Here is a 14,640-nt window from a genome sequence, read left to right as displayed (position 1 = left end):
TGGCCAAGATGGTGAAACCCCATCTCTACTAAAAATACAAAAATTAGCTGGGCGTGGTGGTGGGCGCCTGTAATCCCAGCTATTTGGGAGGCTGAGGCAGAGAACTGCTTGAACCCAGGAGGCGTTGGTTGCAGTGAGCTGAGATGGCGCCACTGCACTCCAGCCTGGGCGACAGAGCGAGACTATGTCTCAAAAAAAAAAAGCACTGGGACATGAAAAAGAAAAATGAAAGTTATCTTTGGGTGATGATGGGAACTCTGATTGAGGGTTTTAGTTTTGTTTCCCCCTACCACCACCTTGTCTCTCTTCTTCTAGTTTTCTATAATGAGCATGAAACACTTCTATAAAGAAAAATTAAATGTTTAGAGGGAGTAAGATGTTAAGGAACAAAGGTAAGATTCATGGTGCTCTGAGTTAATAGGCCGTAAGCTTAATAATTATGGTTATACACAGGATAGGTCTTTGTCAGAGACTGCTAAACATCTTGTACAACAATCTTGTGTAAACAACAGTGGTCAGGAAAAGACTCCCCAGAAGGTGAAATTCCAACAAATTTTGGCAGAGTCATTTCAGAAACGTTAAAGTTACACATCCTGTAAGTTATTAATAAAGATGTGAAATCCTTGTATGAAATACGACTATGATCACAGTCATTTCCATTTGGAGGTTCACGAAGCTTACTCAAGGAATGATTGAAGTTTGAGGGTGGTTACTTATTTTTAACCTTGCAAGGGAGATTCATGAATTAAATTAATCTTAGGGCACCAGGTGTGATAGAAGAACTGCACGCCATTTTCTCTATCTTGGTTGTTGAAAATAGAGTGTTCAATGGGACAGTCTGTTGTACTGTCTCATTGCATCATTGGTCTCATAAGTATCAGTGACTTAGGTATAATTAATAAAATAATAGCTGCCGTGGGAGGGTATTTTCAGTCGTTATATCAAAATGTATAATAAGCATTCTAATTTCTGTTATATCTGTTTAATTTCCTAACAAAGGAGTTCAGTTAGAAAAAGGATATCAGTGGCTCCTGACAAACCTGTCCTTAACTTTCCCCTTAGATTATTTTCATTCTTCTCTGCCAGTGTCGAAGAATACAGAGATGTTGCAGAATGAGGATTAAATTAAAAAAAAGATCTGAGTATCATTAAATATTTGATGAGCAGTATGAGAAGATTGTGAGGTGTGCATATCACTGGGGTGAAAAGAAAGTTCATTCATTCATGGCCCAGCACAATGTCTCACACCTGTAATCCCAGCACTTTGGGAGGCCAAGGCAGGAGTATTGCTTGAGCTCAGGAGTTCGAGACCAGCCTGGGCAACATGGCGAAACCCCATCTTTACCAAAAATACAAAAAAAAAGTAGCTGGGCGTGGTGGAGTGTGCCTGTGATCCCAGTTACTTGGGAGGCTGAGATGGGAGGATGGTTTGAGCCCAGGAGGCAGAGGTTGCAGTGAGCCCAGATAGCACCATTGCACTCCAGCCTGGGCAACAGACCCAGACCCTATTTCAAAAAAAAAAAAAAAAAAAAAAGTTCATTTATTCAACATACTTATGAGCAGCTTTTGTATGCCAGGTACTTCTTAGGTCCTGGGGAACAGCAGTGAATAAAACAAAGCCCCTGTCCTCATGAAGTATACACCCTAGAGGGGGAGGCAGACAATAAACTAGTACTATTATAGGTAACATCATGAAAAAAAATAAGCAAGGGAAAGAGGGGGTTTGGGAAGGGGTCACATAAGGTAGAATGGTCAGGAAAAGACTCCCCAGAAGGTGAAATTCAAGCAGCTACCTGAAGCAAGGGTGGGAGAGAGTCCTGTATTGCCTCGTGGGGAAGAAAGTTCATGTAAAGGGAGCAACAAGGCCCTGACGTCAGGGTGAGCTTGACCGCGGAAGTGACAGCAGGAAGGGAGGTGAGGCTGGAGGGGAGGGAGGGAGCCGGCCCCCAGGTCATCTGAAATAGCATGGACTTGGGCTTTCATTGCAAGTATGCCAGGAACCATTGGAATGCTTTGAGCAGAAAAGTGACATGATCTTACTTCCATTTAACTCTTTCCTGTTTAATCTTTAAAGCCCAAATAATGTCCTCTGAAAGGCTTAATGGGAACAGAGAGGCCCTGCATAAAGATAAAAGAGGCAAAGAAAGGTAATTTGCTGAGCAGAATTTTTATAGTGGATGGAATCTGTGCATGTTCCTTTAATAATTAGTTAATTATTGATGGTGAGTGTTGCCCAATATTTTTCTCATTAAGTTATCACAGAGGGATTCTATTTTGTTACATTTGGTTGAAATTTGGGGATTTTTTTTTCCTAATCAGTTAAAAATGACTATCTAGATATTTAACTGAATACTTATGGGAAAAAGTCTACAAAACTTGTTCTAGTAACAAAAAGAAAGTCTCAGAAAGTTAAAGAACATGAAACCAGGATTCTTTTTTAGAGACAAATCCATTATTTAGAATTCCTTCTAGAAGAGGGAATGCCTTCATCAGAAAGGTGAATTTTGCTTCACACAAATGCACACACACACACACACACACACACACACACACACAAAAGGAATTGCTCCGGCATTATTTATAAAGAGACGTGTCAGGGAACTATGAATTCTCCAATAAAACTGCAAATTACTCTAACAGATGCATACAAAACATGCCTAGAGGCTGTTGTGTATTTGTATTTTGCCAGTACTGCCATTGAAGAGGTGATTTACAATCCTAAAGCCACCAATGATGGCATTTTCTAAATGTTATATCAAATTATATTGTGTAAGACAGTAACATCTGTCACTTAGAATGGAATTCTTAAATATTTGTTATATAAATATAATACTGACAATCAAAAAAGCTCATGTTTGCTAATACATAATAGGCATCTTTTAGAGGGAGGGATTTGCACTGTCCCCACTCATGGAAATAGTACCTAATAAGAAATTTATTTGCCTCCCTTACTTAGAAACACTACTAAATATTAAATCATCAAAAACCTGGTTACTAAGTAAAATGACCACAGCCACTGAAGGGTTCAGGTTCAAGATGAGTTTTCAACTAAATGTACCAGTTCCCACCTACCTTCAATAATCTTCAGATGTCAAAATCACTTTTTAAAAACATTTTCTTTGTTACTCGTAATATCTGAGGAAATGTAGATTCTTCATAGACTTTTCAAGACTTGGATTATATAAACCCATTGTTCAGCTAGATGTTTGTTTTAAATGTTTTTTAGCCACCAGAAAAAAAGTGATTATCTAGTCTAGACTTGTTCTTGTACCATTCTTCAGCCAAGCTGTTCAGAGGCAGTTTGCTGAGATAGGGAGTGAGATAATATGTTTCAGTGAAAAAATAGGCAGTCCACTCCTTGCTGGCAGGCTATGAGGTTGATTACTTAATGCCTGAGCCAGAGAGTGAGTCCAAATTACAGTTTCCTCTGGAATGATGCAAGCTTCAAAATTCACTGGAGTGGGGAGTAGAGGGTGGAGAGAGGAGAAACCTTTACAAGTGATTGGATTACATCAATTTTCACTTCTGTGTGTACACACGCATATGTATATGCGTTCATTTCCTTTTGGCATGTAAGAATAAACTAGTCCAGATTTCTAAAAGGGCTTTGCTGTTTTTAATAGAAATTTCCACCGAAGAGACTTTAGAGTTAAAAAATTCTTGGTTGACTGAAATGAACAGATTGCTATCTGGCAATGGTGGCCCCTCTTCTGGGTTGCACAAGCATATACCAGAATAAGTTATAACAAAAAAAAAATATGAAGTTAGGGTAAACTACATCCATTTTGAGAAACTGAATTCTTTTTGTATGCATAAATAACCCAACCAGGAGGATCTGGTGTGGTTAGCACACTCTGAATGCGTTTAAGTCATTTTCATTTGATTGGAGAACTGGGATAAAGTTGGAGATTGGCCTTTGGGAAATCATTACTGGCTCAAGCTAAATGATATTGCCAGCTCTATTAAAGTTCTAGAGTCTTGGGGAGTCATATACACCAATTTATAAGGAATCCTTTGATCAATTGGAAAAACTCCTCTCCACCTAAAATGGAGGAAGAAAAGATGTCTCCCTGGTCAGATTGTGTGGTTGATGTTCTCAAGATGATAATATTAGCTCTGTGCCTCTCAGACTATATCCATGACAGTTTCTAAATCCTTTTGCAAACAGCTAGATTCCAAAATCACTGCCTTTATTTGTGCAATTGAAGAACTAAGAATGATCCTGATACACTGTTTGCTAGCAAAGAAGTGATTTCCTTAGCCTCTTGGTGGTAACCAGCTTGAGCTCATTTTTTTTTCAAATTGCTGAGTTTAATGGGATTAAAGAGATCTCTAAAGAAGGAATTTTAAATCTGCACTAGGAAAAGGATATTTGTCATTGTTTTGTTTTGGTTTTAATAGACTTGGACTTTTAAGATCCTTTGTCATAACTAAGTAGGTGAAATGATGTACTGAGTTGGTGGCTTTTAAAATTTTTTGAAGAAAACCCAGATACAGTTTTACCTGTTTATATGTGTGTATGCATATGTGTGTGTTAAATAACAATGCAAAACATATAGAGATAGGTGTTTAGGTAAAGTAGATAAGTGATGACAGATAGGAGGGAAGGAAGGAGAGAGGGAGAGAGGAAGGAAGGAAGAAGAGAGGATAGATAGTTACAGGTAACTGAAACAATCCTCACACATGTACCATGTCTGCAATTTTTTAATCTATCCTATTTTATTTCACTCTTTTATTTTTGTGAGACAGAGTCTCAACCTGTCACCTGGGCTGGAGGGCAGTGGCGTGATCTCGACTCACTGCAGCCTCAATCTCCAAGGCTCAAGTGATCCTGCCTCAGCCTCCCGAGTAGCTGGGGCTACAGATGCATACCACCTTGTCTAGCTAACTTTTTAATTTTTTTTGGTAGAGATGCAGTTTCTCCATGAACTCCTGGGCTCAAGCTATTCTCCCGCCTTCATGTCCCAGGGTGCTGGGATTACAGGCGTGAGCCACTGCGCCCAACTTATTTCACCCTTTTAAAAAATGTTGGTTGAGATCCACTAAATCAATTTTATAATCGGCTGGCGGGTCACAACCAGAAATTTGAACATCACTGGGCTAGCTAGTAAGAAAGCCTGGAGTCCCCAGCTTTGAGTTCCCTCAGGAAGACCTGAGAACTCCCTCATGCACCCCTGCTCCCACCTTTGTGCCAGCTGCTTTGGTTTTGACTGAACAGGCTGGTTTGTGCCAAACACCTTGTGGATCCAAACTCCCATCCTTATTGAGATGATTGGATTGTTCCTGAACTAGACCTTTGAAGTTGTGCCCAACAGGAGTGAAAACAAATAAAACAAAGGAATCAAGCCTTTTCCCAGTGTAGTCTGGTGATACTCTGCTTTGTATCTGAGTGGAAAGAGAAAGTAATGGTGTTTTACATTTGAGTGAATCTCATTGAAGAACAGTGTCTCTGAAATGCTTTTCAGAGTCTTAAAGTAATGATAAAGTGAATTTAAGTGGGAGGAAAGAGAAGAAATTTTTTAAATTCTGCATTTAGCCATTTAATTGAACTCTTAGAGCTCTTAGTATCTGAAACAAGTCTTTAGTTATGTACTTTCACAGATACAGGTAACTATGACAATGCCCAGCCTTCATTCTTATTCGGTGTATTAGATAAGGGACAAATGACCCTCTCTCCCCAGTGTGTTGCCTTTATTTCCATTTTCTAAAATGATCTTTTCCTATGAATAGCAGACCCACCTTCCTGCCCTCCCCACCCTCCCTGCCATGAGTGGTAGAATGCTCACGTTGAAATAATGGAGCTTTTGGTTGCTGGCAGCAATCAGCTAAGCTTTTAAAAGCATACGTATTGAAAGGGAAAAGAAGTTATGTCTTGGATTCCACCCACTCCAGAAGTCAGCAAAAAGAAAATTCTCTCAATTAAAACATAATGTAATTTCCATCCCACCCTTGGGGCATTACTTCTGCTAATGTTGATGAAAATGAACATCAAATTGATTGGCTTCCCACGCCCTGACAATCATTAATTATGCCAAAGGTGCTGGGGATGAGTGTAGTGATTTGAAAGAAACACAAGTTGACAGCTTCTTCCTGACTCTAGAGTCCCATCTCAGGACAGGTGACGGGCCTGATGTATCTTTTTAGAGTACACTTCTTCCCCACTCTCTCTAAAAAGAAAGAGATTTTGAGGATTTTATTTGCTTTGAATTAGCTGATCCCATGGAATGTAGAAAGGTTTCCGTCAAAACAGATTCAGTGCTGTCTGATGGGGATATCAAGGTAGAAGAACATGATAATGGGGCTTTAAAAGCTTACATGTTTGAAAATGTCTGCAGATGATTTTCTTTTATTATACATATATAATATCTGAATATCTGCAAGTACAGTGCTAGCAACATACAACTGCTAACGGAATTGGAAGTTTAACAGGGCAATGGTCTTGATTCTGAAAGGGTCAAATTCCCTACTACCATTAGAGATTCTATAAAAGAATCCTATTCATACATAGAGGATTTTTTTTTTCCTTCACATAGGCAATTATTTCCATCTTAACCTTGGATAGAGGAAGTTGGACTAATAGTTAAATGTGCTTGGAATTATGCCTATGACTTTTTTACTACCTTGTGAATTTTCTTATTGAAAGCTCAGTGAACTTCTTAATTTAAAAAATAAGAATTAGCTCATGCTCTTTGCCCTTGGTAATCACCAGGGCACCACTATCATCCAAAGTACATTAAGGACCTACCTGCCTGTATCCCTACTAGAATTTAAATAGTCACAGTCTCTGCTTTCTCAAAATCTGCAACCCAGGATACATTAGATGTATGGTTCTCAACTGGGAGGTATTTTGCCCCCAAGGGGACATTTGGCAGTGTCTGGTGTTACTTTTCATTGTCTTAACTGGGGGAAGTACTGCTGGCATCTTGTAGGTGGAAGCTGGGGATGCTCTTAAACATCCTACAATCTGCAATGCACAGCACAGGCCCCACAGTAGGGAATTGTCAGTCAAAAATGTCAGTAGTGCTGACGTTGAGAAACACCAAATTGTGTTGGCAGATGTGTACATAAAGGGCATGTTAAAACTAAGACTCAGGGACCAGCTGTACAGGCTGGGTGCAGTGGCTCACACCTGTAATCCCAGCACTTTGGGAGACCGAGGCAGGTGGATCGCTTGAGCTCAGGAGTCTGTAGTCTTAGCTACTCGGGAGGCTAAGGTGGGAGGCTTGCTTGATCCAGGGAGGTAGAGGTTGCAGTGAGCCGAGATCATGCCACTGCATTCCAGCCTTGGCGACAGAGCGAGATTCTGTTTCCAAAAAAAAAAAAAGGACCAGCTATCCAGATGAAATGATATTGCTTCACTATGTTTATATATGTATTTCTGGAAACTTCTCAAGTTTCTAACTTACAGTTTGGTTACTTAATAGTTCTATTAATACTGGTACTTGTTTTATAAAAGACAACTGGACAACTGTGACATGCAATTTCATTGTAACAGTGGCCTGGAAAATAAGCATCAAACATGATGGAATCTTGCTCATGAATTATTGAAATCTCAAGAAAGAGAACATATGCATTATAGAGCAGGGGTCCTACTCTCTATAAACTAACTAAGCATACTTTACATGAAAAAATTATTGTATGTATTAGTTGTGATAAAATTTTGATGGCTGTAAAAAAAAGGCCAAAATAGCAATGGCTTAAATAAGGTAGAAGGTGATTTCTCTTTTTATGTAACAGCCAGAGTATAAGCAGTCCAGAGCTGATGTGGCGGCTCTAAGGCTCCTTCTCTCTTGTTATCCTGCCATTCTTGGCTTACATCTTCCATCTTATGGTCTACTATGGCTGCTCCTACTCCCACCATCACATCCACATCCTAAAGAGCAGGAAGGAAGTCGAGGGCATGACCCTCTTTTTAAGGGCATGTAACACATCACTTCTGGTCACACTGTTGTCTAGAACTTGATCACGTGGCCGTACTTAGCTGGTAAGGAGATTGACAGTGTTTTGTTGGGCAGCCATGTGCCCAGCTAAAACTCGGGGGGTTCCTTTATTAAAGGAAGGAGAAAAGTATGGATGTTGGAGGGCAGCTAGCAGTCTCTGCTCAGATGTCTGGTTTTAGGTTAATTCTTTTAGGTTAAACCAAAGACTGGTTAATAATTCCAAATGGCCTTTGGTCAGGATAGAGTTCACAGACTGTGACAGTGTCTGTGATGGCCTGTTATTTTACTCTATTACATTCATCCTGAATAGTCAGCCTTCCGTGCCAGACTTCCTTATTTGTAAATTGCCAGTAATACCTAACTCATAGGCTTATGGTGAGGATTAATGATGTCATATATATGTTACACACTCAGAACAGTCCCTAGCACATAGTGAGCTCCACTAAGAGCTATAAATATTATTGTTATGGGTGATTGCTGTGCCCGACTAGCTGATTTGAGCCTTAACTTATTCAGCACACAAATGTCTGTTAATTTCATTTGGTTTGTAAATCTCAATATTTGTTGCTCTGATCTAATTTGGATTTGTAGCCACAACCCCACAACCCCAATAAAGTATCAAAACGGGAGATCTGCTTTGAATATGAAGATAATGCTAAATTGGAATTGATGTGGGCACGAACCAGTAGACTGCCAGCTTCTTACATCAGAACATTGGTGGCCAAGCTAGAAATTCAGTGTAGTTGTCAACTTTAGATAACATTGCCTTGCATTCATCTGTTTTTCAACAATGTCAGAGATTTCTGGTTTGGTCCCATAGAGATCATTAAATTTGTGAACATTCTTTCTTTACTTCTCAATAAAGACATTTACAAACTCACAGTGGAAAAAGTGCAACTCAGATTTACAAATGGCAGTAGCTCTCTTACCTTTTACATTATTTCAGATTTCAACATCATGTAGCGGATAACCTTCCCTGAAATTCTGCCTCATCTGTTCTAATATTTAACATGGCTAAAGATAAGGTTAGAACATCTTTTTAAAAATTATTATTATTGTTGTTATTATTATTATTGAGACAAATCTTATTCTTGTCACCCCGGCTGGAGTGCAATGGCATGATCTCGGCTCACTGCAACCTCCATCTCCCGGGTTTCAAGTGATTCTCCTGTCTCAGCCTCCCAAGTAGCCAGGAATACAGGTACACGCCACCACACCTAGCTAATTTTTGTATTTTTAGTGGAGACGAGGTTTCACCACATTGGCCAGGCTGGTCTTGAACTCCTGATCTCAGGCGATCTGCCCACCTCAGCCTTCCAAAGTGCTGGGATTATAGGCGTGAGCCACTGTGCCCAGCCAGAACATCTTTAAATTTCCAAGCATACATATACATGTAGAGAAAATCCTCTATTGATGTCAGGGTAGCTTGGCCCCTAAACCACACATATTCATTCTTAGGTCATTTCATACTTTTTACTAGTGTAAATTTTGAAAGCAGGGCAATATCTTACTTGCATGTAAAGTGACAGAAATGCAAACCATATATATTGCTTGAAAGGAGCAGGCTGTCTTTTCTATAGGTTATAACCCACTGTCATGTGAACATGAAGTCCGTGGAGGAAGCCACACTCCAGTATGCAAACCTCTGTCTTGCTTTTCTTCTCAAAAAGTTTCTCAAAGTCCCTTTGGTCCTCACAACATGAAACTTAGTAGGATGATTCTGTATCCATTTAATCTTAAATTCGGTGAGGGAGAATGATGGTGACTCATTTGGCAATTCATATTATTTTTATCAACAGAAAATGATAAAACAATTCCATATAATCATATGGAAATGAACATTATTCAGACTAACTTGGGCCAAAATATTTTCTAGGCTGGCTAAAAATGTAAGCACTCAGAGGGAGTAAGGGTTTAGCAACAATACAATGAGAATTTCCAGAATAAATCATTTCCATTTATACCACAGAAGCTTTAGTCTTTTAAAACTCAACATATTATAGTATAATGCTTAAAAATTATTCAACGACTTGACGAAACAAGCCTTAGAGTGTTAATTCCTCCAACAAGAAAAACAAGGATTCTACTCATATCATCATTTTCTTTTTAAAATAAATGAATGCAGGAACTAGAAAGGGAGAGAAGGAGCAGATGGGAATGAGAACTGATAGCCTCTCTTGGTGAACAAGCTCCAGAGAAGGTCAAGTCCTTTTCCTGTCAGGCAGCTTTTGTGAGTAGGGGAGATTTCACAAACCTGTCCTTGGCATAAGACTCATGTGAGTGACCAGGTGAACAGCTGTAACTTGATAGAAAGATTAATCCTCTGGCTGTTATTATAGAAGAGCAGTAGAGGGAGTGTCTGTAAAGGTCAGTGTGAAGCTTCCTAAAATAATTTTTCCTAAAGGCAAAGAGTTTACCTTTAAGAGCAAGATCTGAACTTACTTTGCTCTCTAGTCTCTTCTGTCCTACACAGAGGAACCCAAGTTCGGATTCGAGCCTGATAGGATCTGACCTCTAATTTTTCTTTTAGGATATTAAATTATGCTAGAACATCATTGATCATAATTATGGCAGATGTAGTTCCAGAATTGTGTAAGTCAGAGCCACTGGCTCTAAGAGACCAAAATTCTTTGTAAAACCTTAACACCTTGCCTCTGGTTTGGCATGACCCCAGGAAGCCCCCCGACCGCCCACATTACATGCATCCAGTACACGCATCCAGTACATACATAGTCAGTGTATGTGGTTCCCTTTGGTATCTATGAAATGAAGGTAGTACCTACCACATGGGTTGTTAGGAGGAACAAATGAGGCCGGGCACGCTGGCTCATGCCAGTAATCCCAGCATTTTGGGAGGCCGAGGCTGGTGGATCACCTGAGATCAGGATTTCAAGACCAGCCTGGCCAACATGGCGAAACCCCATCTCTACTAAAAATACAAAAAATTAGCCAGGCGTGGTAGCGGGCATCTGTAATCCCAGCTACTTGGGAGGCTGAGGCAGGAGAATTGCTTGCACCCGGGAGGCAGAGGTTGCAGTGAGCTGAGATCGTGCCACTGCACTCCAGCCTGGGCAACAAGAGCAAAACCCCTGTCTCAAAAAAAAAAAAAAAAAAAAAAGAGGAACAAATGATATAATTTATGTAAGGTTCTTAGCAGAGTGCTTGACTCATCATTAGCTCTCAGTAAATTGTATTATTGCTGTCACCGTGTTTCCTGCACAGGGGTTAAGGTAGATAAGAGAGGAGTGACACCAAATTTTCAAAATTGGTTAGAAATTTGATTTGCAAGTGACCAGATAAGGTCTCCCTTCCACCCTTCCCCACCAACAATTCACTGCTCCTTGCTCCGCTAACCTAATCTCTCTCTACCCCAAACTCTCACCCTTCCCAGTGTTCCCAGTTTCGTGTACATCCTTCCAGAGATATTTTATGCACAAACAAGTGGAAACATGTCTGCGTGTGTTTGTTTTAGGAACAATTATTCTTAAGCAGCTCTGTACTTGAAAGAGTGAAGAACCTCCTTTCAAGCTGATAATCGAAATGGGGAAATAAAGTAAAAGTTTCTTCCCTCCGTAGTTCCAAATGGCAAGTTTTTCACCCGGTGGAATCATGTGGTTACATCCTTCCCAAGTTAACAGAATATGAAGGATATTAGCATCGTTTCAGTAGGGTAGACAGTGAAACCTGAAAGAATGGTTCAGTGGAGTCACCTGGGATTTATTACTGCTTCTGATAGGCCATTCTATCTCACTGTAGAGACACGATCGTTTAACTATGTGGGCCAAATATATGCGTGCCCAGAATCAACAGCTAGTTCTCTTTTGCATATTTTATATGATTTATCCACTGACTGGCTCCAAATTAAATTCAAAAGGAATTAGAAGCCTTAGCTGAGGAGCCACTGATAAGATACCCTACTCTGGCTAGGCAGATACAGCAAAGATTTTCAGAAATAGTACAACTGCTTCCACTTCCCTTTTAAATGTTACCTCACACACGTGAATCTAATGTAGGGATTTAGCTCTTACATGTTCTCTTGTTTAGGGCAAAACGATCGGCTCAAAAGGAAATACTTCTCATTATCGTGTTGCCTAATTCATGCAGTGAGATCCAACACAGAGGAACTCAGCTTCTGTTTTGAGCCTGATGGGATCTGACCTCTAATTTTTGTTTTGGGATATTAGATTATGTTAGAATGCCATTGATTCATAATTATTGCAGATGTAGTCCCAGAATTGTGTAACTCAGAGCCATGGGCTCTAAGAGACGAAAATTCATTGTAAAACAGAACACCAGCCGGGCACAGTGGCTCATGCCTATAATCCCAGCACTTTGGGAGGCCAAGGCGGGCGGATCACTTGAGGGCAGGAGTTCGAGACCAGCCTGGTCAACATGGTGAAACCCCATCTCTACTAAAAATACAAAAATTAGCCAGGCGGGTGGTGGGTGCTTTGTAATCCCAGCTGCTCGGAAGGCTGAGGCATGAGAATCACTTGAACCCGGTGGGCAGAGATTGCAGTGAGCCAGGATCATGCCACTACACTCCACCCTGGGCGAGGGAGTGAGACTTAGTCTCAAAAACAAAAAACAAAACAAAACAAAAAAACACATAACATCTTGCCCCTGACTTGGCGTGACCCTGTGAGGACACCCCCAGTACATGGATCTCGAGGGAAGAAGCAGATTCACCTGCTGTCTGCCAGCCACTGACTGATTCTTGGGTGGTCTGGCAGGTACATGTGGTTCAGCAGCCTTGGCTAGACAGCAGAGTTTGCCATTTTTCAAAATCTTCACTTTGGAAGAAGAAATAAAGGTGCCAGTCTGCTTGAAAGCCCTGTCTTTGAAAACTCACTTTTTAACCCATGGTTTCTTGCCAAACCAATATTTGGGATATGGTGTTATGCAGTGTTTTGTTCTGCTGTGGATGTTGCTGGTTTACTTAACAGTAGAAACAGCTCTGTGAATTAGGTCTTGACAAGTAAAAACCTTTTCCATCGGCCTTTACTGGTGTTGGGTATGTATGTGCTATTTTTTTTTCTTCTGAGACAGGGTCTCGCCCTGTCGCCCGGGCTGAAGTGCAGTGGCCTTAACCTCCTGGGCTCAAGCAATTCCCATCCCATCCCATCCTATCCCATCCCCACCCCGCCCAGCCTCAGCTTTCTGAGTAGCTGGGACTACAGGCACACACCACCATACCTGGCTAATTTTTGTACTTTTTGTAGAGACAGGGTTTTGCCATGTTGCCCAGGCTGGTATCCAACTCCTAGGCTCAAGCAGTCTTCCCACCTTGGCCTCCCAAAGTGCTGGGATTGCAGGCTATGTGTGCTTTGAAAGTGACAAATGTAAATATCTCTAGATGTTTTACCTGACATTATCTCCTGTAAGACTAGAATGTGACCACATTTTCAGCTCAGAAGACACCAACAGGACATTGAGGCAAATTCACACGCTGAAAAAGCAGCCATACACTGTTGAAATCAGAATGTGGCACACTTCCAACTGGAGAAGGAGGATCTGTGAGTTCCCATATTAGTATTAAATGCAAAAATCTTTGTTCATGCAACATTAAGGTTACAAATGTTCACAGGCCAAAATCGGGAAATAGCAGAAAATAAGATTCTCATGGTGACATCTGTTCTCCGCTCTAGTACACGTTCCGTAAAACAGTGTATGGTTGAAGACCGATTAGTTCTGCAAAGCCTTTAGTATGTAGTGTGATTAAGAACCTGAACCTCAGCATGTGGGGAGGCAGGGGGATGAGGTGAAGAGGGAGCTGAGCTGAGACTGACTTCCCCCCAGTCAGAGTTTCACTGGAGGACCTTAGGCAAGCAATTAGCTTATCCACATCTCAAGTTCTCTATGAACTAGAAGGAATACTATGCCTTCTTCCAGTTCTCCCTAATTCACCAAAGATGAGGCAAAGATTCTGCTGAGGGAAGGTCTCCAAAGACCTTTTGAGGTTGAACTTTTAACATCAAAGTTAGAGGTAACAGCTTTCTGTTATGGGGTAGGAAAGTGTGATGGTTAATACTGAGTGTCAACTTGATTGGATTGAAGGATGCAAAGTATTGATCCTGGGTGTGCCTGTGTGTCTGTTGCCAAGGAGATTAATATTTGAGTCAGTGGGCTGGGGAAGGCAGACCCACCCTTAATCTGGTGGGTACAATCTAATCAGCTGCCAGCAAATATAAAGCAGGCAGAAAAACATGAAAAGGTAAGACCAGCCTAGCCTCCCAGCCGACATCTTTCTCCCATGCTGGATGCTTCCTGCCCTTGAACATCAGACTCCAGGTTCTTCAGTTTCGAGACTCAGACTGGCTCTCCTTGGTCCTCAAGCTTGCAGACAGCCTATTGTGGACCTTATGATAGTGTAAGTTAAAACTTAATAAACTCCTCTTTTTATATATATATAAGATATATATTATATATAAGTATATATAAGATATATATCATATATATATTATATATATATAAGAGATATATATATATATATCTCTTAGTTCTGTCACTCTAGGGAACCCTAATACAGAAAGGGTGCAGTGTGCACAGGCTGGGACTTCTCAGCCTTGTCTATGTGGAAGTTATTGACATTAAATTACATATGTCATGCATCCATGCATGTTTTCTCTTGCCTATAGCTAGTGGAATTTTAAGCAAATCCACAAATATTTATTGTCTATTATATTTAAGATCTATGTAA

General features: G+C 40.6%; 1 protein-coding gene across 16 annotated transcripts in view, besides 1 other annotated feature; it reads left to right on the top strand.

Moving 5' to 3' along the window:
* Positions 1–14,640, top strand: part of ZNF827 (zinc finger protein 827) — a 181,197-nt gene that overhangs the window by 131,142 nt on the left and 35,415 nt on the right. The gene's annotated exons all lie outside the window — the stretch shown is intronic.
* Positions 126–345: an enhancer, noted in NCBI's record as "active region_21967". NCBI's record gives its function as "activates an Ori minimal core promoter by ATAC-STARR-seq in GM12878 lymphoblastoid cells {active_cell/tissue: GM12878}" and the evidence as "EXISTENCE:reporter gene assay evidence [ECO:0000049][PMID:35858748]".

Source organism: Homo sapiens, chromosome 4 (genome assembly GCF_000001405.40).
Source record: "Homo sapiens chromosome 4, GRCh38.p14 Primary Assembly".
NCBI lineage: Eukaryota > Metazoa > Chordata > Mammalia > Primates > Hominidae > Homo > Homo sapiens.
This window is presented reverse-complemented; position numbering and strand designations above follow the sequence as displayed.